At 34.4% G+C, this 26,587-nt stretch overlaps 1 long non-coding RNA gene across 1 annotated transcript in view, besides 1 other annotated feature; it reads left to right on the top strand.

Moving 5' to 3' along the window:
• Nucleotides 1–26,587, top strand: part of LINC02713 (long intergenic non-protein coding RNA 2713) — a 78,303-nt gene that overhangs the window by 12,374 nt on the left and 39,342 nt on the right. The window contains exons 2-4 of the long non-coding RNA NR_183633.1: nt 1,946–2,104; nt 7,620–7,682; nt 25,734–25,872. This is a non-coding gene — a long non-coding RNA (long intergenic non-protein coding RNA 2713). The remainder of the gene's footprint in view (nt 1–1,945; nt 2,105–7,619; nt 7,683–25,733; nt 25,873–26,587) is intronic.
• Nucleotides 5,499–6,055: an enhancer, noted in NCBI's record as "OCT4-NANOG hESC enhancer chr11:97809655-97810211 (GRCh37/hg19 assembly coordinates)". NCBI's record gives its function as "activates a minimal SCP1, AML or CMV promoter by ChIP-STARR-seq in primed H9 embryonic stem cells {active_cell/tissue: H9 hESC(primed)}" and the evidence as "EXISTENCE:reporter gene assay evidence [ECO:0000049][PMID:30033119]".

Raw genomic sequence — 26,587 nt, 5'->3', positions numbered from 1 at the left:
ATAGAAAGCCCATGTTCATGGATTGAAATACTGTTTTTAAAATGTTCATATAACCTAAATGAACACTAAAATTCAACAGTGAAAAATAACAAGTGTTTGTGAAGATGTGGAGAAATTGGAACTTTTATACATTGCTCGTGGGAATATAAAATTGTGCAGCAGCTGTGGAAAGCAGATTGATGCTTCCTCAAAAAGCTAAACATAAAATTACCATATGACCCAGCAATTCCGTGTCTAGGTATATGCCCAAAATAATTGAAAGCGTGAAACCAAATGATAATCTACACCAAAATTCATTGCAGTACTACTCACAACAAATAAAAGATGAAAATAAACCAGTATCCATCGGCACATAAATAAATTATATATATATATATATACATATATATATGTATGCATACAGTGGGAAATTATTTAGACATACAAAAAGATGAATGAAGTTCTGATACATGCTACAAGAAGGATAAACCAAGAAAAGTATACTAAATGAAATAAGCCAGGAACAAAATGCCAATTATTTTATAATTTGAAGAAAATATCTACAGTAAGCAAATTCATAGAGACATTCAATAAATTAGAGGTTACCAGGTTTTGTGGAATAGGGGACTATTGGTTATTCCTTAAAAATTACAAAGTTTTTTGGGAGAGGTGACAAAAACATTTTACACATAAAAATGACAAATTATATATTATGTATATAAATTTCCACTAAAAGAGAAAAATTCTAAAGTACCAAGTTTCATCTTCCAAACCTTCTCAATCATGTTTGGTTGGGAATGTGTATGGTCCACCCTAGGTCAAAATACTTCTTCATCTGTGAACAGGGAAAACAAACAAATTTATCTGCTTTTAAAATGAAATAGTGGTACAGGCATTAGATAGATATTTTTATATTAACAGGTAGAAATTTGTAGGAGTAAAGGATCACTAGTTCCAAGCAACTCCAAATCTTCGCAGAGTAGATCTGTAAATTCAAGGCTTAGGCTTAATCCTTTTAGGCTTGATGGTCTGTTCTCTGGCTCCACTCTCTGGAATTAACTTTGTAATGACCTTTGTGACAATTCTTCCCTCAGAATTATTCTTCATTTTTCTGAAGGTTAGCACTTGTTTTCTGCCAGAGTTGCTCTAGCAGGACACGTTTTGCTTGTAGAATCCCCAAATAATGACAGCCTTTTCATTTCATCCCATTTCTGTCCTCTTCAGTCCAAGCTGCCAGTGTTTTTGGTGGTATAACATTCTGAAAAATCTTGAGGGTCTCTGTGTCTGTCAGGGGGACCCACATTGTTAAACAAAGGGTTCTCCACAGATCCTTTCTTTATAGCTTGTCTCTATTTATGGCTTCTGTGGAAATGATTGATTGGATGCATGAGTTATACATCTCATGTCTTTACCAGAAGTTTGTCCAGCCACACTCTACCCTTTCTCCAGAGCATGCTCTAGCATCTTTTGCAGTCTTGATAGGCTGAGAATTTTCCAAATCATTGAGTGTTGCTTCCTTTTTGCTTAACAGTTCCTTCATCGATGTATCTTTGTCTTCTTGCATTTTACTATAAGTAATAAAAAGAATCCAGGCCACACCTTCAAAACTCTGCTTAGAAATCTCTTCTTCAAAATATCCTAGGTGAATTCTTAAAAGTTCTTTTCCTCACCCATTAATAGAAACAATTAAGTCAAGTTTTCTGCCAATTTATGACAAGGATTACATTTCCTCCAGTTCCAAATATCATGTTTCTTTTCTCTGTCCTAGACCTTGCCATAAGTACTTATAACCTCTATATTTTCACCAACAGTCTCTCCAAGGCAATATATACTTTTTCTGTTACATGACTCAAAATTCTTCCAATCTCTAGCCATTTCCCATTTCCAAAGCCACTTCCACATTTCTTAGTATTTTTTTTATATTTGCAGCCCACTTCCCAGGACTAAACCTTTATTTGTCTTCTAGGTCTACTGTTATGAATTGCCACAACTTGGAGGCTTAGAACAACACAAATTAGTACTCTCACAGTCCTGAAGGCTACAGCTCTGCAATCAAGATATCAGCAAGGCCATCATTCCACTAAGGCTCTAAGGAAGAATCCATTTTTGCCTCTTCCTGCTTCTGGTAACCCCAAGCATTCCTTGACTTATGGCAGCATAATTCCCATTCTGTTTCTGTCTTCACATGGTTTTCTTTTCTGTGTCCACGTATGTTCTTTTCTGCCTCTTATAAGGACACTGTCACTGGATTTAAGGTCCACTCTGATTCACCATGATTTCATCTTAATTTCTACCTCAGTTACATTTACAAAGATTCTATGTCAAAAGAAGGTCACATTCTAGGGCACCTGGTAGACTTAAATTCTGGAGGGAAACAATTCAACCCACTGTGGTTGGCTTTAGATTATTTAATCTGATAATCTGTTTCTATTAATTACAGTATTTTGTTCATTTATATTTATGGAAGTTACAAATAGAGTTATATTTAAACCTAAATAACATGAGCTGCTTTTATTTGTCATATACAGGCATAGCTTGAAGATATTTTGGGCTCAGTTCCAGACCCACTGCAATAAAATAAATATCATACTAAAGCAAGTTATGTGGACTTTTCTGTTTTCCAGTGCACATTAAGGTTGTGTTTGCCCTGTACCCAAGGCTGTTGAGTGTGTAATAGCATTATGTCTAAGAAAACAATGTGTATATGTTAACTCAAAAATACTTTATTGCTAAAATAGGTTAACAACCATCTGAGACTTCAATGAGTCTGACTCTTTTCTGGTGGAGGATCTTGCCTTGATGTTGATGATTACTAACTGATCAGCATGGTGGTTGCCGAAGGTTTGGTGGTTGTGGCAATTTCTAAAAATAAGACAACAGTGAAGTTTGCAGCATCGATTGACTTTTCCTTTAACGAAAGATTTCTCTGTAATATGTTCTCTGATGCTATTTGATAGCATTTTATTCACTGTAGAACTTCTTTAAAAACTGGAGGCAGTTTTTTCAAACTCTACTGCTGTTTTATCAAATGAGCATATGAATATTCTAAATCCTTTGTCATTTCAATGATGTTCACAGCATCTTCACCAGGAGTTGGTTCTGTCTCAAGAAACTACTTTCTTTGTTTTTCTGAAGGAAGCAACTTCTCATCTGTTCAAGTCTCATCATAGGATTGAAGCAATTCATTCACATCTTCAGGGTCCACTTCTAATTGTACTTCTCTTGCCATTTCCATAACATCTGTAATTAGTTCCTTTACTGAAGTCTTGAACTCCTCCAAGTCATTTATGAGTGTTGGAATCAGCTTCTTCCAAATCCCTGGTAATGTTGATATTTTGACTTCCTTTCATGCATCATGAATGTTCTTGATGACATCTAAGATTGTGAATTATTTCCAAAAGATTCTCCATTTACTTTTCCCAGATTCACCACAGGGATCACTATCTATGGTATCTAGGGCCTTATAAAATGTATTTCTTAAATCATAAAAATTGAAAGTCTAAATTACTCCTTTATGCATTGGCTGCAGAATGGATGTTGTGTTAGTAGGCATGAAAACAATTCCAATCTCCTTATACAACTCCTTCAGAGCTCTTGGATTACTAGGTGCATTCTCAGTTAACAGTAATACTTTAAAATAAATCTATTTTACTGAGAAGTAGGTCTTAATATTGGACTTAAGGTATTCAATAAACTATGCTGCAAACAGATGTTCTGTCATCCAGGCTTTGTTGTTCCATTGCTAGAGCACAGGCAGAGTAGACTTAGCATAATTCTTAAGGGCCCTAGGATTTTCATCTCGGTAAAGAAGCACTGGCTTCAACTTAGTCACCTGCATTAGCATTTAAGAGAGTGCTCCTAAGAAAGCTCCTTTGAAGCTTTCAAGCCAGGCATTGGCTCCTCCTCTCTAGCTATGAAAGTCCTAAATGGTATCTTTTTCCAACATAAGGCTATTTCATCACATTGAAAATCCATTGTTTGATGTAGTCACTTTGATCAATGATCTTAACTAGATCATCTGGATAACTTGCTGCAACTTCCACTTCAGCATTTGTTACTTCAACTTGTGCTTTTATGTTATGGAGATGGCTTCTTTCCTTAAACCTTGTGTACCAACCTCTGCTAGCATCAAACGTTGTTTCTGCAGCCTCCTTAACTCTCTCAGCTTTCACAGAATTCATAAAAGTTTGAGCCTTGCTCTGGATTAGGCTTTGGCTTAAGGCAATACTGTGGCAGTTTTGATCTTCTATCCAGACCACTTAAACTTTCTATCAGAATAAGGCTGTTTTATTTTATTTATTTATTTTTTATCATCGATGTGATCAGTGGCATAGCACTTTTAGTTTTCTTCACAAAATTTTCTTTTCCTTTCACGACTTGACTAACCAGTTGGCTCAAGAGGCCTTGATTTTGGTCTATTGCAGATTTCAAAGGGCTTCCTCACTAAGCTTAATCATTTGTAGCTTTTGATTTAAAGTGAGAGACATGCAACACTTATTTTCATTTGAACACTTAAATGCCATTGTAGGGTTATTAATTGGCCTAATTTCAGTATTGCTGTGTCTCAGGGGATAGTTGTGTCTCAAGAAAAGGGAGTAAGATAGAGGAATGGCCAGTCAGTGGAGCAGTCAGTACACACACATTTATTGATTAAGTTTGCCATCTTTTATGGGCATGATTTGTGGCACCCCAGAACAATTGTAATATCAGAGATCACTGGTCATAGATCATCATAACAGATATAATAAGGGAAAAGTTCAAAATATTTTGAGAATTTCAAAATGTGACATAGAGACATTAAATTAGCACATCCTATTGGAAAAATCGTGCCAATAGACTTGCTCAATGAAGTTGCTATAAACTTTCAATTTTTAAAAAATGCAATATTTGCAAAGCACAATAAAGTGAAATGCAAAAATGAGGTATGCTTGTATATTGAAATTGCCTATTATTCCTTTTTTTCTTGTTTTCTGTAGTCATTTTTTTTCCTGTTGTTCCAAATTTAAGCATTATAACTTTGAAACTGTATACATGTTTACTATCATGTAGGGGTTATGCTAAAAATTATGTTTTTTACTTGAAGTGTAATATTAATTAGTACTGTTCTCTTTCTCTTCCATGATAAAAGTTCTCAGAATGTTTATTTTAATTTTACTTATCCACTCTCAATCTATGAGCTTTTATTTTTATTTTTTATTGTTTTTATTGATGTATATAGTAAGTTAAATAATCTATTTATACACCCATTACTTAAAATTTTAGCTGTTCTTTAATCCTTCCTGAATCTCTATCTCTTTAAGAGAAACTAAGGATAATTATTATTCTTTCTAACAGTCTTTATTATTTTCTTTAGAATGGCTTGATGATGAATTCTTTCAAGTTGATTTTCTTTCAGTATTCATGTAGAGTATTTTCACTGTTTGTAAAATTTCGGTTTAACAATTATTTTACCTGGTCATTTAAATAGTATCATTCAATTTTCTTAGCCTTTGTCTTTTCTTTTGAGAAGTGAAGCATATGTGCTCAATAGTCCTCCTATAACTCCTAAGCTCTGACAATTTCTGTACACTGCAAGTTTTTATTCCCATATCCTGCAAATCTAGCTAGAATTTGTTTTTAGCTACAAAAGCAGATTTCGCACTCATGTGGTGCCAGCTGGTAGTGCCTAGAAGTTAATGAACTAAGAGTAGCCTTCAATCAGTGATGGATGGAAGCAGGTGAATAAATACAACAACCTCTGTCCTCAGCTGATGTGTAATTCTAAGGCACTTTCTACAGAGGCTTTTGGAGATTCTCAGCAGGATTAAGTGTCAGTTGATCAACTAACACAGCTTACATTAGCTTCTTTGTTTTTCTTATATCCTGATTCCCTTAACTATGTTTCCTTCATCACCATTCAAATAAACTATTTGTATGCACGATCTTGCCTCAGGATCTGTTTGGAAATATCTTAATGCAAAACTCTTGATTTTTTTGGAATACTACGTCTTTTTTTCCTCTGATACCTTTTCCCATTTTTTTCCTCTGTCTTCACATTTCAGAGGTTTTGCTCTGAGGCACTAAGGTGTAAATTGCTTTTTGACAAATCCTTCTTAAAAATGTTATGGCCTGTTGAATGTATTGTTTTTAAAAGTTGTTTTAGATTTTTTTTAGCTATTATAACTTCATAAACTGCTTCTCCCTTTTCTCTTTTCTTCCCTTAGATTCCAATTAAACATATATTAGGCCTTCTTGATGTGTCTTCCTTGTCTTGTCTCTTATCTTTTGTATTTTAAATTCTATTTTAATCTTTATACTTTATTCTAAATATTTTCTGTGACGTAGTTTTCAGTTTATTTACTCTTTATTTAACTATAACTTATCTTTAATCTATCCATTGAGTTCTTAACTCCTTTACTATATTGCTGTTTTTGAAAGTGTCAATTTTTTTGCAAGTTTTTCAAACTAGTTTCATCTCCCTAAATGTAACATGCATTGTTATTTTAAAGTATTTTTATGACTACTCCAATCACTTGGACTTCTGAGTTCTATTTTTATTTTCTGTTATTTTTCCTAGTTGTCTTTTGTTCTTATGTGTAGCCCTATTTATATTGTGTACTCATCATTGTGTTAGATAAATCATTTATAGAAATAATTTTAGATCTAAATGATATCATCTTCCTCCAGAATGGCTTTTTCTTTGTTTCCAGGGACACTTGCATTTTGAAATGTTTTCAGGTGCTATTATAGCTTCACAACCATTATAGTTTCAGGAATTGTAATTTAAAGCTAAGCAGCAGTCCTTTTAGGGCTTGTCTACTTCCAGTGCAACCTACTCCTAATGAGCAGCTGTTAGCGTTCCAAGCAAGAATAAAAAGTGTCACCAGTGTTCTCAACTATGAGGACCCTATGTTCCAATTCTGTCTCCTTGCCCCTGCAAATATGTGAAAATCTCCCCTCAGAGTTCTCAGCCACCCTTCTGGAATTAGTCATCGAAGGGCAAGTGGCCCCAAATACAGAGCTCCAAGCTTGAATGACTCCAAGACTTGAGTCATTCCTGACTCCTGGCTCCTTATCATCCTCTATCTTTTTATCTTTCTTTCTGGCGTAGTTTTTAAAAGTTAGTCAAATTTTTTATAGTTGCCTTCAGTGAATGGAAAGTTTGTTTCAGTTGCCTACTGTACCATTGTCAGAAATGGAATTTCACTACTTAAAAAAATTCTCTCAAGTTTTCTGAAATGTTCAGACCCATTATTTGAGTATTCACCCAGCTTCGCAGTGTTTAGTTGATAGACCTTTTTAATCAGAGAGCAAATGCATTATTGCAGCAAAATTTATAGTGGTTATTAAGATCATTTTTATTAATAGAAAGATATAAACAAAGGTTCACATATAGTGTAATGACAAAATCATTAACATTTGCCTAAATATCTGTCTGAACTGCTGACTTTTCCACAAGAGAAATAACTGTTCTAATACCATACAATTATATTTCACTAAAGGACTATGTTTGTATCACTAAAAGACTAGTCCTAGGCAATTACATTTAATATATCTTACTTAGAAATTTCATTCGTAATGGGCATGTAACAGGGAATGTAAATTGAGAGTTTATAACTCATCTTTGATAGAAACTTCTTTTTTTTTCAACTGATCATCAGGGATGCATCCACTTTATTAGACGGCAAACTAGAAAATGCTTCCTACAGTCGCCACATAAAAAGGTACGTGCTTTAACTTACATGTCTATATTCAAATTATCTTACAGAAGAAAATACATTTCCTAGATTAGAAATATGTTCTGTTCTAATTTTAATTTTTTAGGGATTGAAACAAATGAGTAAAATATAGATATTTTATTCAAATGAAAGCCATTTATATTGTGACAAAACTTCTGACAATAGAAAAATCAATCTGTAGAAAATGATTAGTTTTAACTATATAACTTTGGAAGAGATAAATTATAACAAGTTTGTATATTTATTTTGATCTTTTAAACTAGTAGTGTATGCCATGTTATTGTCAATTGAGTCTTAGATACTGATAAAAACCATGAAAATACTCATAATATACCATGATAAAAACCATGAAAATACGCATAATATACCATCAGCATAGATTGCCATCTGAGGGTATAGTTTGATTAATTGACTATATAGTAATGTAATCATTACTATGTTCTTCTCTTAAAAATAATAAAACTTTTGTTCGAATAGTCTGCATGGACCAAATATCTGAAATAAGTTGTATTTGATATCTTATTCATATGGCTTATAAACTGAATTATTTGACAGTCACAAATGATCTTAAATCTTCATACAGTAACTAAATCAATGATATAACTTTATGATTTCTCAGCAAAGAGCAGTTTTACCAGTAAAAGAAAATTCATTGCAAAACTTTGCATTTAGAAATTGTTGTTACATAATATTTTAGATAATTTTGGTACAAAATTTAAACTTTAAAAAACTGACACAAGTGCAAAAGTTATCTGAAATTGAAGTTATGATACAGGTATTTGCAAGGGATTATCTTTTACTTATTTTATCTAATAAAAAATATGTTTGTCTCAGACTTGTTTTGAAAATAAGAGTCTATACTTACAACAGTATAATTCTCAGAATTTTTAGTAGGGTTTAGATAAAAGGAATTTAAATTATTTCAATTTAACACACATTTATTATATACAGGAAAGCAATTTATTGGCTACTGTGGAGGAATCAGAATGGTAAAATATAAAGTCATACTGTAATAGGCCTTTGCCGAGATGACCAAAATTAAATACTTTAAGATAAACTAAGAAGGAAGTTCCCCCCATATGATATAAATTACTTAAGTTTTATCAATCTGCTCTTTTATGTCCTCATTTACTATTTCCACAAAATGTCAGCCACTAAAGCCTTTGGCCAAAAAGTGGGGTCATACTCTTCTCTGGAGGTATATGCTAAATCAGAAAATTATCAATTTAATGATATGTCACCATTACAAATGATTCATTTCTAAAACTAACATTGTGAAATACCTTAATAATTAATAAATTATTAATTGACAGTAACTTTTGTTGCTTTCATATAATTCAGAAGGTCAATTGAAGAAATGATATAGAGTTATTAAAAGTAATGGCAGAAACTGCAGTTACTTTTGCACCAACCTAATAGGTCTCTTTACAAAAAAAAACTGTCTAAGTTCTTTGTCTCTGTATATCTTAGAAACTATTTTAATGATATAATCAGAAATGTTATCAAATATTTATGCTAAGTGATAATTATGACAATGTAATTCATGTTATTAAATATTGAAAATAGTCTATATGTAAACTAATATACTATTGATTAATATATTATCAAGAAAATTTAACTTAACCACGTGCTAGAATATCATGTAGTCTTTAAATTCATGGTTCAAAGATAATTCAATAATATGTGAAATACTCATAATACAATTTAAGTGAAAAGAATGTATACATATGCATACATTTTGTGCGGTAGTGCATGTGTGTGCACACATGTAAGTATGTGTGTTTGCATATATGAGAGACAGACATTGGTCGAAAATTGGGGTAGACTACTTTTTTACTTCCTTAGGTTATTGAGAGGTGCCACTTGGTTTCAGTATCTGCAATATCAACTCATCATTTTTTGGAAAGGAAAAAAGACAGGGACAGGGACTACAAAAGAATTGGCAGTAAACATGAGTTATGACAGTAAGGACAGAAAATTGCTTTCATTTTCCCAGGCTGTACATCTGCTGTAATGTATAGAAGAAAAAATTCAAGGCTGCATTAGATTACCTGAGATCAGACTATAATCCATTTTACAGCTTGCCAGTAATGCATTGGTTTCCTGTGAGTTATTTAATATTTCAGAAAGTAGCTGGGTTTGAACACCTTAACAAGTTTGGCCTCAGTTCAGAGACTCCAACAGCAAAAGGTATTGGTGTAGCACCAGGAGAAGGAGCTAAGAGTAGTTAGAAGAGGTCAAACAGAAGCCAGATCACCCGTAGTAGGAGAAAGTGCAGTGCAAAAGGCCCTTCCCTGGCCATCTGAAAGATCGTATGTTCTTTCCACGTGTCTCTATCAATTTCTGAGCACATCTTTAATTTTTGGGATGAGACAATGTTCAAGGCTCGCCTTTGCAGCTCTACTTCATCAGTTCCAGAATCAGTCATTTATTCAAAAAGTTCTGCTTCCTTTGATGGGAAGAATATTTAGAAACCAAGATCAGGATCGTTGTTTCCTTCTTGGTCTTTTCAGCAGACAGATAAATATACGTGTGTGTGGGTATATATATATATATTCATATGTATATATGTTTTATGTGTGTATGTAACATACACACATATGTATCTTATCTGTGTATATAAAATAACATACATATTTATAACATATAGATAAATAAATTTTCAGTTTAGATTAAATCCTCCAATTCCATTACAACACCACAAAGTTCTTCCTTGTAATCCACCCATTCCACTTTTACATAACTTTCTTCCATGCTGACAATTCTGGCTGTCAATGATACCAATTTATTACTGATTTACTCAATACTATGATATATACAAAATATTTTTGAAATTGGTATATTTATACTGTAAGAATATCAAAAGTGCTAATTAATGTTCAAGATTTATTTGTAGTTCTTTTAAATTTTAATGAACTGTGTATATAGTCAAATTATTTAGATAATTCTATTTTTCCCCTTCTTTGTGAATGTCTTATTAATTTGGCATACGGGTAGATTGTTTTGTATTCTATTTTATATTTTATTTAATATTTATTAATTTTATTTTTAATATGTAAAATAATTTATGTCTAGAAGTCAAAACCATATGAAAATATATACTTTAAAATGTGATACTTCCTCCATTAATTGTTACTATCCATCTCTTCTAGACAACCAAATTCATTGGTTTTGTTTCATCCTTCCTATTATTTTCTTTGAAAAAATTTGCAGGTTTCCTCCTTTTTTCCTTGCAAAGTGATATATATCATTTTGCTTTTTAAAATAGGCCTTATTTTTTAGAGCAGCTTTAGGTTCACAGCAAAATTGAATGGAAATTACTGTTTCCATATCGCCCTTACCTCCATATACCCACATCTTCCTTCACTATCAACATCTCCCTTTAGAGTGGTACATTTGTTGCAATTGATGAACCTACATTGACACATCATTATCACCTAAGTGTACAGTTTCATCAGGATTTATTCTTGTTATGCAATTTGTGAAATAAATGATGCCATGTATTCACCATGTAATATAAAAAATAATTTTGCTGTCTTAAAAATCATCATACATAACCTATTTATATTTTTCTCTCTCAACTCTTATCAACTACTGATCTTTTTACTGTCTCAACAGTTTTTTGTCTTTCCCAGAATGTCATTTAGTTGGAAACATACAATATGTAGCCTTTTTAGACTGGCTTTTGTCACTCAGCAATATGCATGTAAGTTTCCTCCATGTCTTATAATGGCTTGATAGCTCATTTCATTTGCGAGCTGAACAACATTCCATTGACTGGATTACCACATTTTATTTATCCATCCTGCTACTAAGGAACATCTTGGAAACAGCTGCCATAAACACCCATCTGTAGGTTTTTGTGTGAGAATTAGTTTTTAATGTATTTAGACAAATACCAAAGAAGGCAATTTCTGGATCATATGGTGTGAGTGTGCTTAAGGAGTGAAAAAAAACCACCAAACTATCATCTAATGTAGCTGTACCATTTTGCATTCCCACCAGCAGCAAATGAGTGTTCCTGTTTCTCCTCACTCTGCTTTTTTTATTTAGCAATATATTCTGAAAATTACTCTGTCACAACTTTTAGAGACTTTTTACTTATTTTTTACACCTACATAATATTCTATTGCATGTGTTCACCATAGTTTATATTTATATAACCAACCAAATATGTGTGTATATGCACTCAAGTGTATGTTCTGTATAGCTACTTCACAAAGCACATGGACCTAATGCAACAGAAATCAACAATCGAAAATATTTATCTTGATAAAAGGATGACTCTATCTACAACCCCAAATGACCATGAAGTAATTCCAAGAAGTTTATTTATTTCCATTGTGCAATCACTTTCCACGGCATTTACTCTTTACTCTTAATATAGTATCTATAAGATTTGATTGATATCTTATTCCATTTTAGTCTCCAACTTTAAGTAACTTATAGTTTTCCAAATATGGTTGAGCATTGACGTTTCTATAGATTATTTCTGTCTCACTGAAATTATGTTATTTTCTCCCTTTTTTGCCAGTTGCAAAGACTTTGATTCATTTAAAGTACATTTGAATGAATGTTCATTTATAGTGCTTAACTGACGGCAAATAATCTGCTGGGCTGCACTGGTGCACGGGCTGCATGCACTCTGTGATTTGGAACCCTTAGTAGTTAGGTTGATTTTCTCTTCCTTCAATTTTCTCTGCTTCCCTCTTCTTCGTGAGCAAATGTAAAACCACTTGTAAGTTTAATCAGAAAAAAAAATTCATTGTATTTCAGAGCTGTCTGTTACCTGACATATATATTGGTCTTTATGACATATTAAAAGCAAATGGTAATGTAACTGAAATATTTCTCATTTTTTTTCTGAACAAGAGTTTGTTTGGTTTTGCCCTAGTTGTTGATTCAGTTGTAGTGCCAAGGAACCTATATATATAATATCCACTGCATTGAAATTATATAGTTTCAAAAACAATATACAATCTTAATATATACAGCATACTATCCAGACTCTTGGGGTTGACATACCAAAATATATGAAGTTTCTTTCTTTTTCTTCTTTCTCTTTCTTTCTTTTCCTTCTGTCTTTTATATATGCATTAAAAAATTTAATGAATTTATTCCTCAAACATATACTGTATACAAGACAATGTGTTGGATGTTTCACTTAGGTGATTCTTATACATATTTTGAATTCACATGCTAGATGATGTCCTCTCAATATTGAATAAAAAGTTTATGCTGTTCTGTTCCTTAGATAAATTTGAATTGAAAATATAATAAATCACAACTTAATATTTATCTCAATGAGCTTACAGACTTTGAAAAGAGAGTGGAATTTTTATTTGACGTTATAATGCAGAAGAGTACATGAATTATTAGCCTAATTTTGTATATATACCTCACACAAAATATGGACATTTTACCTCAGAGGAAATGTACTATATATAATAAAAATGCATTTCCTCAAATGAAGTTCAGTGACTCAGGCTCAAGACTGCTTGCTTCAATTTTCATTTATTTTCCTTATGCTGTTATTCATAGCAGAAGAAAAAAAATCTCGTAAGCAAAGACCATTAAATAAAAGTAACTTCACTGAAAAACCTGTGCTTAAGAAAGGATTATCTGATCTACAATTTGGGATTCTGCATGCTTTTAGAAGAATAAGCTCCAAATCTCAGGAAAGTGACATTTTACTAAATGCAAATAGTAATGTAAAGGCATTAAGGAAAATAGAGAATACCGTGAGTCAGAAACAGAGTACAGTGAGGTCTGAATATTCTTCTGACCAAGGAAAATAACTTTTTCTACCAGGAAAATAACTTTAAAATGCCAAATATTTACCATCAAAAATACAATTGGTATTTCATACATTTATTTATCAAAAAATAAGCATTTAACACCCGGGATGTGCAAAACACTGAACTGAGATGATGGTTTTGGCAAAATCAAGTATGGAAAACTTCTATTAATTGCCTGTAATTTCAGTATATCATCTTAGATCATTGGCAATATTGAAGGCAGTAGTACAGTACAGTTTGCAACAGTAACAGGACAATCACTGCATAAGGCAGAAGGGCACTACAATGTAGTGAATTCTACATTAAGTATGTAACCAGATTGAATTGGGTTTAACACCTTGCTCTTCAAAGTGTGTTCTGTGTACCCTCAGGCCATCTATCTAACTTTTCCCACTGTAAGCTCCTTTATATGTTATATAGAACTAAGCTCATCTACATTTCAGAAGTGAATTAGACAATAAGAATTAAAGATTCTGAAATTTTGTTTGATTTAATTCTGGTGATACTGGTGTCACATATTCATTGTTGCTATCACTAATCACAGCCGCTCTCATTAATTTATGCCAACCTTTTCTACTTATATTCAAGTCCTTTTTATTTTTACAAATTGTGTTTTAACCCATATTGTAAACAGATATGGAAATGTTTTTCATTCTCACATTATTTGTTTCTATAGCCTGTCTTCATTTAAGATTGAACTTCAGTCTACTGGCCATAAGTCAAGATAATTAGATCAAACCTAACTACATTTGTGTATCTAATTATCCAACAGAAGACTTCAAATCTATAATTTAATCTTATAATGAACCCCACCATCACCATCTCTATCACAACCTATTGCCACTTAATTAAAGCACATTCTCAAATTCTAAGTCTAGTTATGTTTCTTTCTGCCTAATTACCTCGATGGCATTCTCAATTTTGTGATCCCTTATTTTTAGCTTAGGCCAAGTCTTTTTACTCGGTCAGGTTGTGAATATCCTCATATAATTTTAATCTACATCAATCAAATAATCTATAGGCAGCGCAACAGTGCAGATATGTATCTGACAATATTTATTGCTTAAGTGTGCTACATACAGTGCTGGATGACAGAGCAAAGAATCATGCATCCATTCAAAGTATGAATTACATAGATTCAAATATCCTTTAATCTGAAACATGATTTTGATAGTTATACAGAGAAGAGAGAGGATGGCCTAGAGTCCCTACAATCTTGTGTGCATCATGGAATCCTAAACGAAGGTACGGCCCAATTTCTATGTATTTCATCTTCATTACCCTCTAAACATTTTCTACCAGCTTTAACAGATATGTTAACATACTTGGAATGAGTTATTTCTACAAGATTTTCAATAAAAACAGAAATTCATCTGCTTTTCTTTTATTTTGCACTTCACGCTCACCAGAAGCAACCACTTTTTAATCTCTTTTAAGTAATTATTTTGGTATTTATAATCATGCCTGTAAAAACACATGCTGATGCTATCTCTTCAGATTTTTTTAGTTTTAGGGATGTGCTATTTACTCCTCGTATGCAACGTGACAGTTTAGTTGTTTCCACACACACACCCCTCCCTCAACCTCACTCACCACACGTGCATACTTTCCCTATTCACCTGTCTTCAAAACAGTCATGTTGTAATTTTGTTTAGATCAACATTCATTGTTTACTTTGCTATGACTCTCTAAATTCTGTTCACATCAGAGCCATTCAGTTAACCACAATTAACCTTTCTTCTTACACCACTTTTTGTTTTCCTGAAAGTTAATCATTTGTATGATTTTTATTTACTTGGTATTCAATATTGTTTTTATTAAAGCAATAACGGCAACACCAAACCCTCAGCAATTATCTAATTACCTCTTTGAAGTTTAGACACATTATGTATTCCATCAATTAATATTCCTAAGTGAGTCTTTTCGGGACACTGTTATCCTATGTTTTTCAGATTTGCCAGCCTTCTCCATCTGTTGTACCATGGATCCTCCTTCACCATAATCTCAAACATAAACTATTTCTTTATCTCTTCATTTTTAAATCTTGTTTCTTGTGCCCCATTCCTTTCTTATTGTTTTTTCCCCTTGTTTCAGTAGAGTACATCTTCTAGCAACTATGTTTTGGGGTTTTTCTTTCGTTTTGTTTTTATTTTAGATCCGGTATATATTAAAATGATTTTACACTAACATATGTTTTGGTCAAAAATAGAATTTCAGATTTTAAATCTTTTCCTTCAAATTTTGAAGAAACTACACCTGAAAATTATATTTTCAATCTTGCTATGAAAATAAAGTCATCTTTATTATGTTATTACATATAGATTATGTGTCCCAATTTGTCCAAGAGTGTCCTTTAATGCCTGTTTTTACAGCATAATTATTGCTAGTACCCGCTTTGATATCCAAGAGGTTCTGATTTACATAATAAATTATATGGTTACTCCATTTATCCTGACATTTTCTTCTCTGTAAAATTTTCTTTTTGTTTCATGTGCACTATAATTTAGTGATGATGTGCGTTGCTATCATTCATTGATCTAAGCATTGTCTTTCTTTTTTGAGAAATGTCCTTGCATATTTCAATGATGATTTTCTTCTCTTGGTTCTCTTTTCTATTTCTGAAGTTCTATTATTCCTATATAGGATTGGTCCCCTAATATTTGTGTTTTCTCTCCAGCTCGTTACCTATTTTTTGTTTTAAGCTATTTTCTAGGGGCTTTTTACAACTTTATTTTCAAAGTTTTCTGATAAACTTTTTTCTCTCCTTCTTTTATATTTTTAATGTAGAAGAGCTTAGAGTGCTTATATATTCCCTGTATATTCATTTCTGAACCATATTATGTTCTTGTTCTATAATTGTAATAACATCTATTTCTCTAACATATTAATGCAAAATTTGAAGCTTTTTTTTAACCTTGCATAATTTTTTTTCCTGTAAATTGTGTTTTTTTTTTTCCTCTTTCTTTGGTGGTCCCTTTTTATGTGAACAATTTTCCTCAGGTGTCTGATAACATTTGATTGATTCCCTGTATTCAAGCATTGAAACCTCAAAAGGTGATTATCAGTTATGAGGGCTTGAGACTTAACTATGAACAATAAATATCTTGGCAAGGTGATTTTCCTGGCCCTTAACTTTGGAAAATACCAATATCAGTACATTAGGAATGTCTTTTTGATCTACTCAGATATCAGAAAAGCCCAATTTTTTATTTATTGGGAAAAGGTATTGCTGCTCAGGTTCTAGAAACCAAGTTGGGAATGCTGATCAAAGTGGAGAGGGTGGTGTCAGTATGCGTATGTTCTAATCCATTAATTTCGGTGTATACTCCAATCTCAGCTAAGCATTTGCTATAATGTTATTAAGTCTGCCATCCGGCTGCACAAATGAGAGAAGGTTTTTGCTTCGTATTAAACTGACTTTTAACCACTTAACTTTATTTAAACTAACATGCCTGCAGACACATACTCTCAGAGATTCCTGGTATCACCAAATTTTATGGCTTAGGAGGACTGTAAAGTGTAAAATAGGTTAGTGATTGGCATCCCCATTGCCTGCTTGGGAATTGTTTTCCTTGGATCCATTCTGTCCTTGATCTTTTGCTCATCTGGTCTCGGGTTTCATAACTACACTGTTGACTTTTCTCTCATTCTTCATTTTCTCCTAGATATATGTTTTGAAAATAATTTCCATACTGTTGCATAGAGAGGTTTAAAAAAGAGCAAAACTTGATGTATCTGTTTAATATACCAGCTTTATCTAGATGCTCTATTTGGTTTATATTATTTTTTATTTTTTTATTTTTATTTTATTTTATTTTATTATTATTATACTTTAAGTTTTAGGGCACATGTGCACAATGTGCAGGTTAGTTACATATGTATACATGTGCCATGCTGGTGTGCTGCACCCATTAACTTGTCATTTAGCATTAGGTATATCTCCAAATGCTATCCCTCCCCACTACCCACACCCCACAACAGTCCTGGGAGTGTGATGTTCCCCTTCCTGTGTCCATGTGTTCTCGTTGTTCAATTCCCACCTATGAATGAGAACATACGGTGTTTGGTTTTTTGTCCTTGCGATAGTTTGCTGAGAATGATGGTTTCCAGTTTCATTGATGTCCCTACAAAGGACATGAACTCATCATTTTTTATGGCTGCATAGTATTCCATGGTGTATATGTGCCACATTTTCTTAATCCAGTCTATCGTTGTTGGATATTTGGGTTGGTTCCAAGTCTTTGCTATTGCGAATAGTGCCGCAATAAACATACATGTGCATGTGTCTTTATAGCAGCATGATTTATAATCCTTTGGGTATATGCCCAGTAATGGGATAGCTGGGTCAAATGGTATTTCTAGATCTAGATCCCTGAGGAATCGCCACACTGACTTCCACAATGGTTGAAGTAGTTTACAGTCTCACCAATAGTGTAAAAGTGTTCCTGTTTCTCTGCATCCTCTCCAGCACCTGTTGTTTCCTGACTTTTTAATGATGGCCATTCTAACTGGTGTGAGATGGTATCTCATTGTGGTTTTGATTTGCATTTCTCTGATGGCCAGGGATGATGAGCATTTTTTCATGTGTCTTTTGGCTGCGTAAGTGTCTGTTCACATCCTTCATCCACTTTTTGATGGGGTTGTTTGTTTTTTTCTTGTAAATTTGTTTGAGTTCATTGTAGATTCTGGATATTAGCCCTTTGTCAGATGAGTAGGTTGTGAAAATTTTCTCCCATTTTGTAGGTTGCCTGTTCACTCTGACGGTAGTTTCTTTTGCTGTGCAGAAGCTCTTTAGTTTAATTAGATCCCATTTGTCAATTTTGGCTTTTGTTGCCATTGCTTTTGGTGTTTTAGACATGAAGTCCTTGCCCATGCCTATGTCCTGAATGGTATTGCCTAGGTTTTCTTCTAGGGTTTTTATGGTTTTATGTCTAACATGTAAGTCTTTAATCCATCCTGAATTAATTTTTATATAAGGTGTAAGGAAGGGATCCAATTTCAGCTTTCTACATATGGCTAGGCAGTTTTCCCAGCACCATTTATTAAATAGAGAATCCTTTCCCCATTGCTTGTTTTTGTCAGGTTTCTCAAAGATCATATGGTTGTAGATATGCGGCATTATTTCTGAGGGCTCTGTTCTGTTCCATTGATCTATATCTCTGTTTTGGTACCAGTACCATGCTGTTTTGGTTACTGTAGCCTTGTAGTACAGTTTGAAGTCAGGTAGCATGATGCCTCCGGCTTTGTTCTTTTGGCTTAGGATTGACTTGGTGATGCGGGCTCTTTTTTGGTTTCATATGAACTTTAAAGTAGTTTTTTGCAATTCTGTGAATAAAGTCTTAGATAGCTTGATGGGGATGGCACTGAATCTATAAATTACCTTGGGCAGTATGGCCATTTTCACGGTATTGATTCTTCCTACCCATGAGTATGGAATGTTCTTCCATTTGTTCGTATCCTCTTTTATTTCATTGAGCAGTGGTTTGTAGTTCTTCTTGAAGAGGTCTTTCACATCCGTTGTAAGTTGGATTCCTAGGTATTTTATTCTCTTTGAAGCAATTGTGAATGGCAGTTCACTCATGATTTGGCTCTCTGTTTTGTCTGTTATTGGTGTATAAGAATGCTTGTGATTTTTGCACATTGATTTTGTATCCTGAGACTTTGCTGAAGTTGCTTATCAGCTTAAGGAGATTTTGGGCTGAGACAATGGGGTTTTCTAGATATACAATCATGTCAACTGCAAACGGACAATTTGGCTTCCTCTTTTCCTAATTGAATACCCTTTATTTCCTTCTCCTGCCTAAGTGCCCTGGACAGCACTTCCAACACTATGTTGAATAGGAGTGGTAAGAGAGGGCATCCCTTTCTTGTGCCCGTTTTCAAAGGGAATGCTTCCAGTTGTTGCCCATTCAGTATGATATTGGCTGTGAGTTTGTCATAGATAGCTCTTATTATTTTGAGATATGTCCCAACAATACCTAATTTATTGAGAGTTTTTAGCATGAAGGTTGTTGAATTTTGTCAGAGGTCTTTTCTGCATCTGTTGAGATAATCATGTGGTTTTTGTCTTTGGTTCTGTTTATATGCTGGATTACATTTATTGATTTGCCTATATTGAACCAGCCTTGCATCCCAGTGATGAAGCCCACTTGATCATGGTGGATAAGCTTTTTGATGTGCTGCTGGATTCGGTTTGCCAGTATTTAATTGAGGATTTTTGCATCAATGTTCATCAAGGATATTGGTCTACAATTCTCTTTTTTGGTTGTGTCTCTGCCCGGCTTTGGTATCAGGATGGTGCTGGCCTCATAAAATGAGTTAGGGAGGATTCCCTCTTTTTCTATTGATTGGAATAGTTTCAGAAGGAATGGTACCAGCTCCTCCTTGTACCTCTGGTAGAATTTGGCTGTGAATCCATCTGGTCCTGGACTTTTTTTGGTTGGTAAGCCAATTGATTATTGCCACAATTTCAGAGCCTGTTATTGGTCTATTCAGAGATTCAACTTCTTCCTGGTTTAGTCTTGGGAAAGTGTATGTGTCGAGGAATTTATCCATTTCTTCTAGATTTTCTAGTTTATTTGCATAGAGGTGTTTGTAGTGTTTTCTGATGGTAGTTTGTATTTCTGTGGGATTGGTGCTGATATCCCCTTTATCATTTTTTATTGCGTCTATTTGATTCCTCTCTCTTTTCTTCTTTATTAGTCTTGCTAGCGGTCTATGAATTTTGTAGATCCTTTCAAAAAACCAGCTCCTGGATTCATTAATTTTTTGATGGGTTTTTTGTGTCTCTATTTCCTTCAGTTCTGCTCTGATTTTAGTTATTTCTTGCCTTCTCCTAGCTTTTGGCCTGCCTTGCTAGATTGGGGAAGTTCTCCTGGGTAATATCCTGTAGAGTGTTTTCCACCTTGGTTCCATTCTCCCTGTCACTTTCAGGTACACCAATCAGGTATAGATTTGGTCTTTTCACATAGTCCCATATTTCTTGGAGGCTTTGTTTGTTTCTTTTTATTCTTTTTTCTCTAAACTTCCCTTCTCGCTTCATTTCATTCATTTCATCTTCCATCACTGATACCCTTTCTTCCAGTTGATCGTGTCGGCTCCTGAGGCTTCTGCATTCTTCACGTAGTTCTGGAGCCTTGGCTTTCAGCTCCATCAGCTCCTTTAAGCACTTCTCTGTATTGGTTATTCTAGTTATACATTCGTCTAAATTTTTTTCAAAGTTTTTAACTTCTTTGCCTTTGGTTTGAATTTCCTCCTGTAGCTTGGAGTAGTTTGGTCGTCTGAAGCCTTCTTCTCTCAACTCGTCAAAGTCATTCTCCATCCAGCTTTGTTCCATTGCTGGTGAGGAACTGAGTTCCTTTGGAGGAGGAGAGGTGCTCTGCTTTTTAGAGTTTCCAGTTTTTCTGCTCTGTTTTTTCCCCATCTTTGTGGTTTTATCTACTTTTGGTCTTTGATGATGGTGATGTACAGATGGGTTTTTGGTGTGGACGTCCTTTCTGTTTGTTAGTTTTCCTTCTAACAGACAGGACCCTCAGCTGCAGGTCTGTTGGAGTTTGCTAGAGGTCCACTCCAGACCCTGTTTGCCTGGGTATCAGCAGTGGTGACTGCAGAACAGCAGTGGCTGTAGAACAGCGGTGGCTGTAGAACAATGGTGGCTGTAGAACAGCGGATATTGGTGAACCACAAATGCTGCTGCGTTATCGTTCCTCTGGAAGTATTGTCTCAGAGGAGTACCTGGCCGTGTGAGGTGTCAGTCTGCCCCTACTGGGGGGTTCCTCCCAGTTAGGCTGCTCAGGGGTCGGACCCACTTGAGAAGGCAGTCTGCCCGTTCTTAGATCTCCAGCTGCGTGCTGGGAGAATCACTACTCTCTTCAAACCTGTCAGACAGGGACATTTCAGTCTGCAGAGGTTACTGCTGTCTTTTTGTTTGTCTGTGCCCTGCCCCCAGAGGTGGAGCCTACAGAGGCAGGAAGGCCTCCTTGAGCTGTGTTGGGCTCTACCCAGTTCGAGCTTCTCGGCTGCTTTGTTTACCTAATCAAGCCTGGGCAATGGCAGGCGCCCATCCCCTAACCGCGCTGCCGCCTTGCAGTTTGATCTCAGACTGCTGTGCTAGCAATCAGCTAGACTCTGTGGGCGTAGGACCCTCCGAGCCAGGTGTGGGATATAATCTCCTGGTGTGCCATTTTTTAAGCCCGTTGGTAAAGCGCAGTATTAGGGTGGGAGTGACCCATTTTCCAGATGCCATCTGTCACCCCTTTCTTTTACTAGGAAAGGGAACTCCCTGACCCCTTGCACTTCCTGAGTGAGGCAATGCCTCGCCCTGCTTCACCTTGCCCACAGTGCGCTGCATCCACTGTCCTGAACCCACTGTCTGGCACTCCCTAGTGAGATGAACCCGGTACCTCAGATGGAAATGCAGAAATCACCCATCTTCTGCGTCACTCACGCTGGGAGCTGTAGACTGGAGCTGTTTGTATTCAGCCGTCTTGGCTCCACCTCCTGGTTTATATTATTTTTAATCACCAGTTTTGCTGATCATAAAGTCAGATGACAAAATACAAAATTTTAATTTTATTTCTAATCCGAATTTAAATTTTATGTTGAATACCCATTTAACCAATAGTGGAAAGTCTCATCTTTATGATTCCTAGTAAATTCGTGGTTATTACTATTATTGATTTGTTTTTCTCTGGTCTTTGATACCTGCAGATATCTCATCATAATTTCAAGAACTCTCAAAACCTGGAAATTATTAATGCCATATTTCTGTCACTATACACTGCACAGAATGATGATACTCTATCATCTACCACTTGCTAGGACTGTATGCCCCAAATCCTACATAGGATTTTAATTTACTGCTTTCACATCGTGCTTAGATGGGACAAGAACATCAGTAGAATTCCTGTAAAGTTTGCCACCTTCCCAGTTATTAAAAAAAGTAGGCACAGAATCTCTCTGACCTCAATTCCCTATATCTACCTGCTTTCAATTATTTTGCTCTTTCTTACTCCTATAGCCCAGATATTACTAATTCTCTAAGAAGAGAAAGGAAGGGAAATTAAGACAGATTCTTGACTTAGCATACAATTTTCCTAATATATTATTTAGCTTAGAGGCTAAGATTAAACTTATTTTATTCCAACTTTGTACCTCCCCTCACTGAGGTGCCAAGACAAGATTAGTTTAAATGGAGAAGTGCCAAATGTAAAATAAATTCCAAAGAAATATATATATGTATGTATACACACATTTTTATGATTAGTAGACAAAACGATAGCCAACATTTCAGCTTTATCTGTCATACCTAATAATCATAACAATTTACGTACAATTAATTTACATTTATATAATTTTTTTCCATTTAATATAATATCACTAGTAATGGTACATCATTTTTATTTTCTTTATTTTTACTTTTGAGACAGGGTTTCATGCTGTCACCCAGGCTGGAATGCAGTGATCTCCTTGTCTCACTGCAAACTCCGCCTGTCAGGCTCAGGTGATCCTCCCACCTCAGCCTCTGCAGTAGCTGAGACTACAGGCGCACACCACCATGCCGGGCTATTTTGTGTATTTTTTTGTAGAGAAAAAGTTTGGCCATGTTGTCCAAGCTGGTCTCGAACTCCTAGCCTCAAGCAGTCCTTCTGCTTCAGCCTTCCAAAGTGCTGGGATTACAGGGGTGACTCACCATGCCGGGACATTATTTTTCTTTTCTATTAATATTATTTTGATGAATGAAGTTAGTATACAAATTGTACACAAATTCTCTTTAAACTCTCCAAATATTTTGTTAAGATAAGTTCGAGATGTAAAATTCCTGGATTAAAATTTAAAGCATAGATAATTTTTATTGAATATGACAAAATGATTTCAAGGTAGGTTTCACTAACTCACAATGTGGACAGCTTAAGAGAGTCCCTCTTTTACTATTTACTCACAATAGCTTGTGAGAGTAAGGGCGACCATCTCAGAAATTTTAATCATTTCCTTACTTCAGGAAATATGCTGCTCATTGTGGTAGAAACTAGTTAGGCATAGTAGAAGGTTTAAAGAATATGAACAATCTGCAGAAATTCTTGCCCACATTAGTGAAGCAAAATGCAAACCAAAAATCAGAACAGGCCACTGAAGATCACAATATAAAGAACAAACAAGGAAAAACAAACAAATAAATTAATGCAGGCATAAATATTCTTTGGGGATTTGCTCATGAGATTTAAAAATAAGGACAGATTTCTGTATGTGGTTGCCTCTGAGCTGAATTTGGTAAATGAGGTTGAATATGTCTGCTCTAATTGACATTCGAAAGGCATAATCTTTTCTACCTTAACAATATAATCATGGCAGATGAAAGTGATTTTTAATTATCAGCATTCACATAAATAAGGTAAGAGCAAAAGCTCTTTGTGAAGTACTTCAGGCATATTTTAAATGTCATGAGAAGAGTTTGGAAGAAAATGTCGTAAAAGTCTCTGAGTAACTCTCTGTTACTCTTAGGACTCTATTATTCATCAGTCCAATAATGAAAGGTGATGGGTTCCAGGACAACCATGCCAACTATTAATATCTATATTTATCTATAAGAGATGAGATAAATGAGAAGTAATACCTAAGAGTAAGTGGAAACTGGCAGGGTCTTATACATTTAGTCTGATATTTTGTATTTGGTATATATAATCCAGGAACTTGGACCCAAGACTAATAATAAAAATCTCCTAATCATATCTATGTGATTAGGATCTATTATGTGACAGGTACTATTTTAAGTGCTTTATATATGATTACTTGTTTTAATTATAAAGATATCCCTGTGAGGTGTATATAATTATTGTACTCATTTTTTTAGGTGATGAAAATAGGCACACAGAGTTAAGTAACTTGCCAAAATTCAAAGGTCTGATGAAAATCCAAAAGGCCTAGATTATCTGCTCAAAGCAGACCCCTACAGAAGAAATAACTATTTGGTACTAGTCTTAGTTCCTGGGCAATTAAATGATTTGTACAACAAACCCCTGTGACATGAGTTTACTTATAAAACAAATTTGCAGATGTACCCCTTAACCTAAATTAAAGGATATATATAAAATTAAACAACAATTTTGTGTATTTCTGTCTAGAATAGTGACAGCATTTTCTAGTAAGTGCTATGGTATAGTTATATTGGCATTTAGGTCTGGATAAATGTCTATCTTTACAGTCTGCACATTGACAATCATATGTTGGGTTAACAAATAATATCTATCTTGCTGGGGAACTGAATTAGGACCAGAGCAAATTCCTATTACATGAGTTGTAGAGTTCATCTGAGGCCAATACTATGCGGTTTTTATTTTTAATAGCCAACTATATATGAAAGGAAATGTTAATGTTTTGAGGAACAAATTTTTAGAAAGTTTACTAGATTTTAAAATTTCTATAAATACACACACACATATACAGGTCTTGATATTCAGCTTAACTCTCTTTTTATAGAAAAAGGCTATAATTTATTCATTTCAAATTTTGTAAGTCACCTCCAGCCAATAAAAGTTAGACCACATTTAACCAACCAGTTCCTAGAAATATGAGAATCTGTGGGGTCTGTGGGCAAGTTCATCTAAGGTGGAGGCAAGATGGTTCCATGTAGAAGATTCTCAAGAAGTTTCACTTGAGATGGTACATTTGGGTAATGTGTGCCCATGAAGTGTGTACAATTCCTAAGCTGAAAAAAAAAAAACCAAGACAGATATCAATTTGTGAGAGTGACTGAGAAACACAAATATCAGACTAAACAAAAATAGGAGCAATCCTTTCCTGAAAACATTGTGAAAATGCTTCCCCATTGGTTGAATGCGACTAATAAGTGGAAGGGAAGATGATAGAGAATCATCTTCAATTTTAAGATGACAGATTTTAAGACAATAAGATGATAATAGATGATTTCTATCATCTTAAAAGAGTACTACATTTACATACTAAATCTCTGAAGACTAAGACATCTCCAGAACATTTTTTTTCTCTAGCATAGAACCTGATGATGAGCAAAGCAGCCCCAAATCATCGATATCTGGGTATTCTTACTTTGGGCTTTACCTGTGATTAGAAGATAGGTAAAGAAGAAAGGCACAGTACTTAGGTCTGTTCCCTTAGGTTATATCATTCTTACTAGAACCTAGACTTTCCAAAAGAAGTTCAACTAGATTATGAGAGCTGCCCTGAAAGTGTAGAGCTGACCTCTTAAAATAACTTATTTCAGAATTATCATCATGCCAAACAAATTATCATCGGTGCCAATGATGTGAGAATTGAGCAGAAAGAGCAATGCAACAGGTTTTCTTTTCTGGCCATGCCAAGGTGGAAGGTGATCTTAATTGAAGAAAGAATGCTCAAAGTAGGTATGTGCAGTTTCAGAAGTACAGCTATATAATATCCGCTATGCCTTGTCCAGTAACCCTCTCCTTAATCCTGGCTCTCACGTGGATTGTCCTTCCTATATTATAATCCTCCACATGTCTTTCCTTTACAGAGTTAATCCCGAATTACGTATTTCAAATATCTAATATAGTTGTGTTAGAAAAAGAAATTCTCAAGTTCTGAGATTATGGAATATCCTGAAAGAATGCTAAAGCAACTATACCCCTTAAAGAAAGATCATTATCAACTTGTAGAAAACTAATCCTATAGTGTGGTGAGAATTTTTGGCAGTCATATTGCACCACTCTCATACTTTTAACAATGCATTTGTGAGAACCACCTACAATAAAAATATGGCAATAAGATTAGCAACTAGTGTTATTTGTTATATTTTCCATTCCCATATTATTCGCTAATGTAAAAAAATGCTAAGCATTATTTATCCATATAAAATAAACAACTTCTAAGGTTTTTTTTCAGTTTATCTTTCTTGTTTAGAAGAAACTAACATAAGTGATTTTTGCAGACCTTTTCAAGGAAATTTAGATACAATCCCTCACATATTCCACAAAACAACTTCATATGACAGATATCATTATCCCTTATTACGGTGGAAGAAAATGAAACTTGGAGAATGATGGTCCAATGGTCAAAGGGTAATGGGCAGAACCATCATACCAAGTTGCACTAGTCTAA

The sequence above is a fragment of the Homo sapiens genome, chromosome 11 (genome assembly GCF_000001405.40).
Source record: "Homo sapiens chromosome 11, GRCh38.p14 Primary Assembly".
NCBI classification, from domain to species: Eukaryota; Metazoa; Chordata; class Mammalia; order Primates; family Hominidae; genus Homo; species Homo sapiens.
The sequence above is the reverse complement of the archived record's forward strand: the minus strand, read 5'-3'. Positions and strand labels throughout refer to the sequence as shown.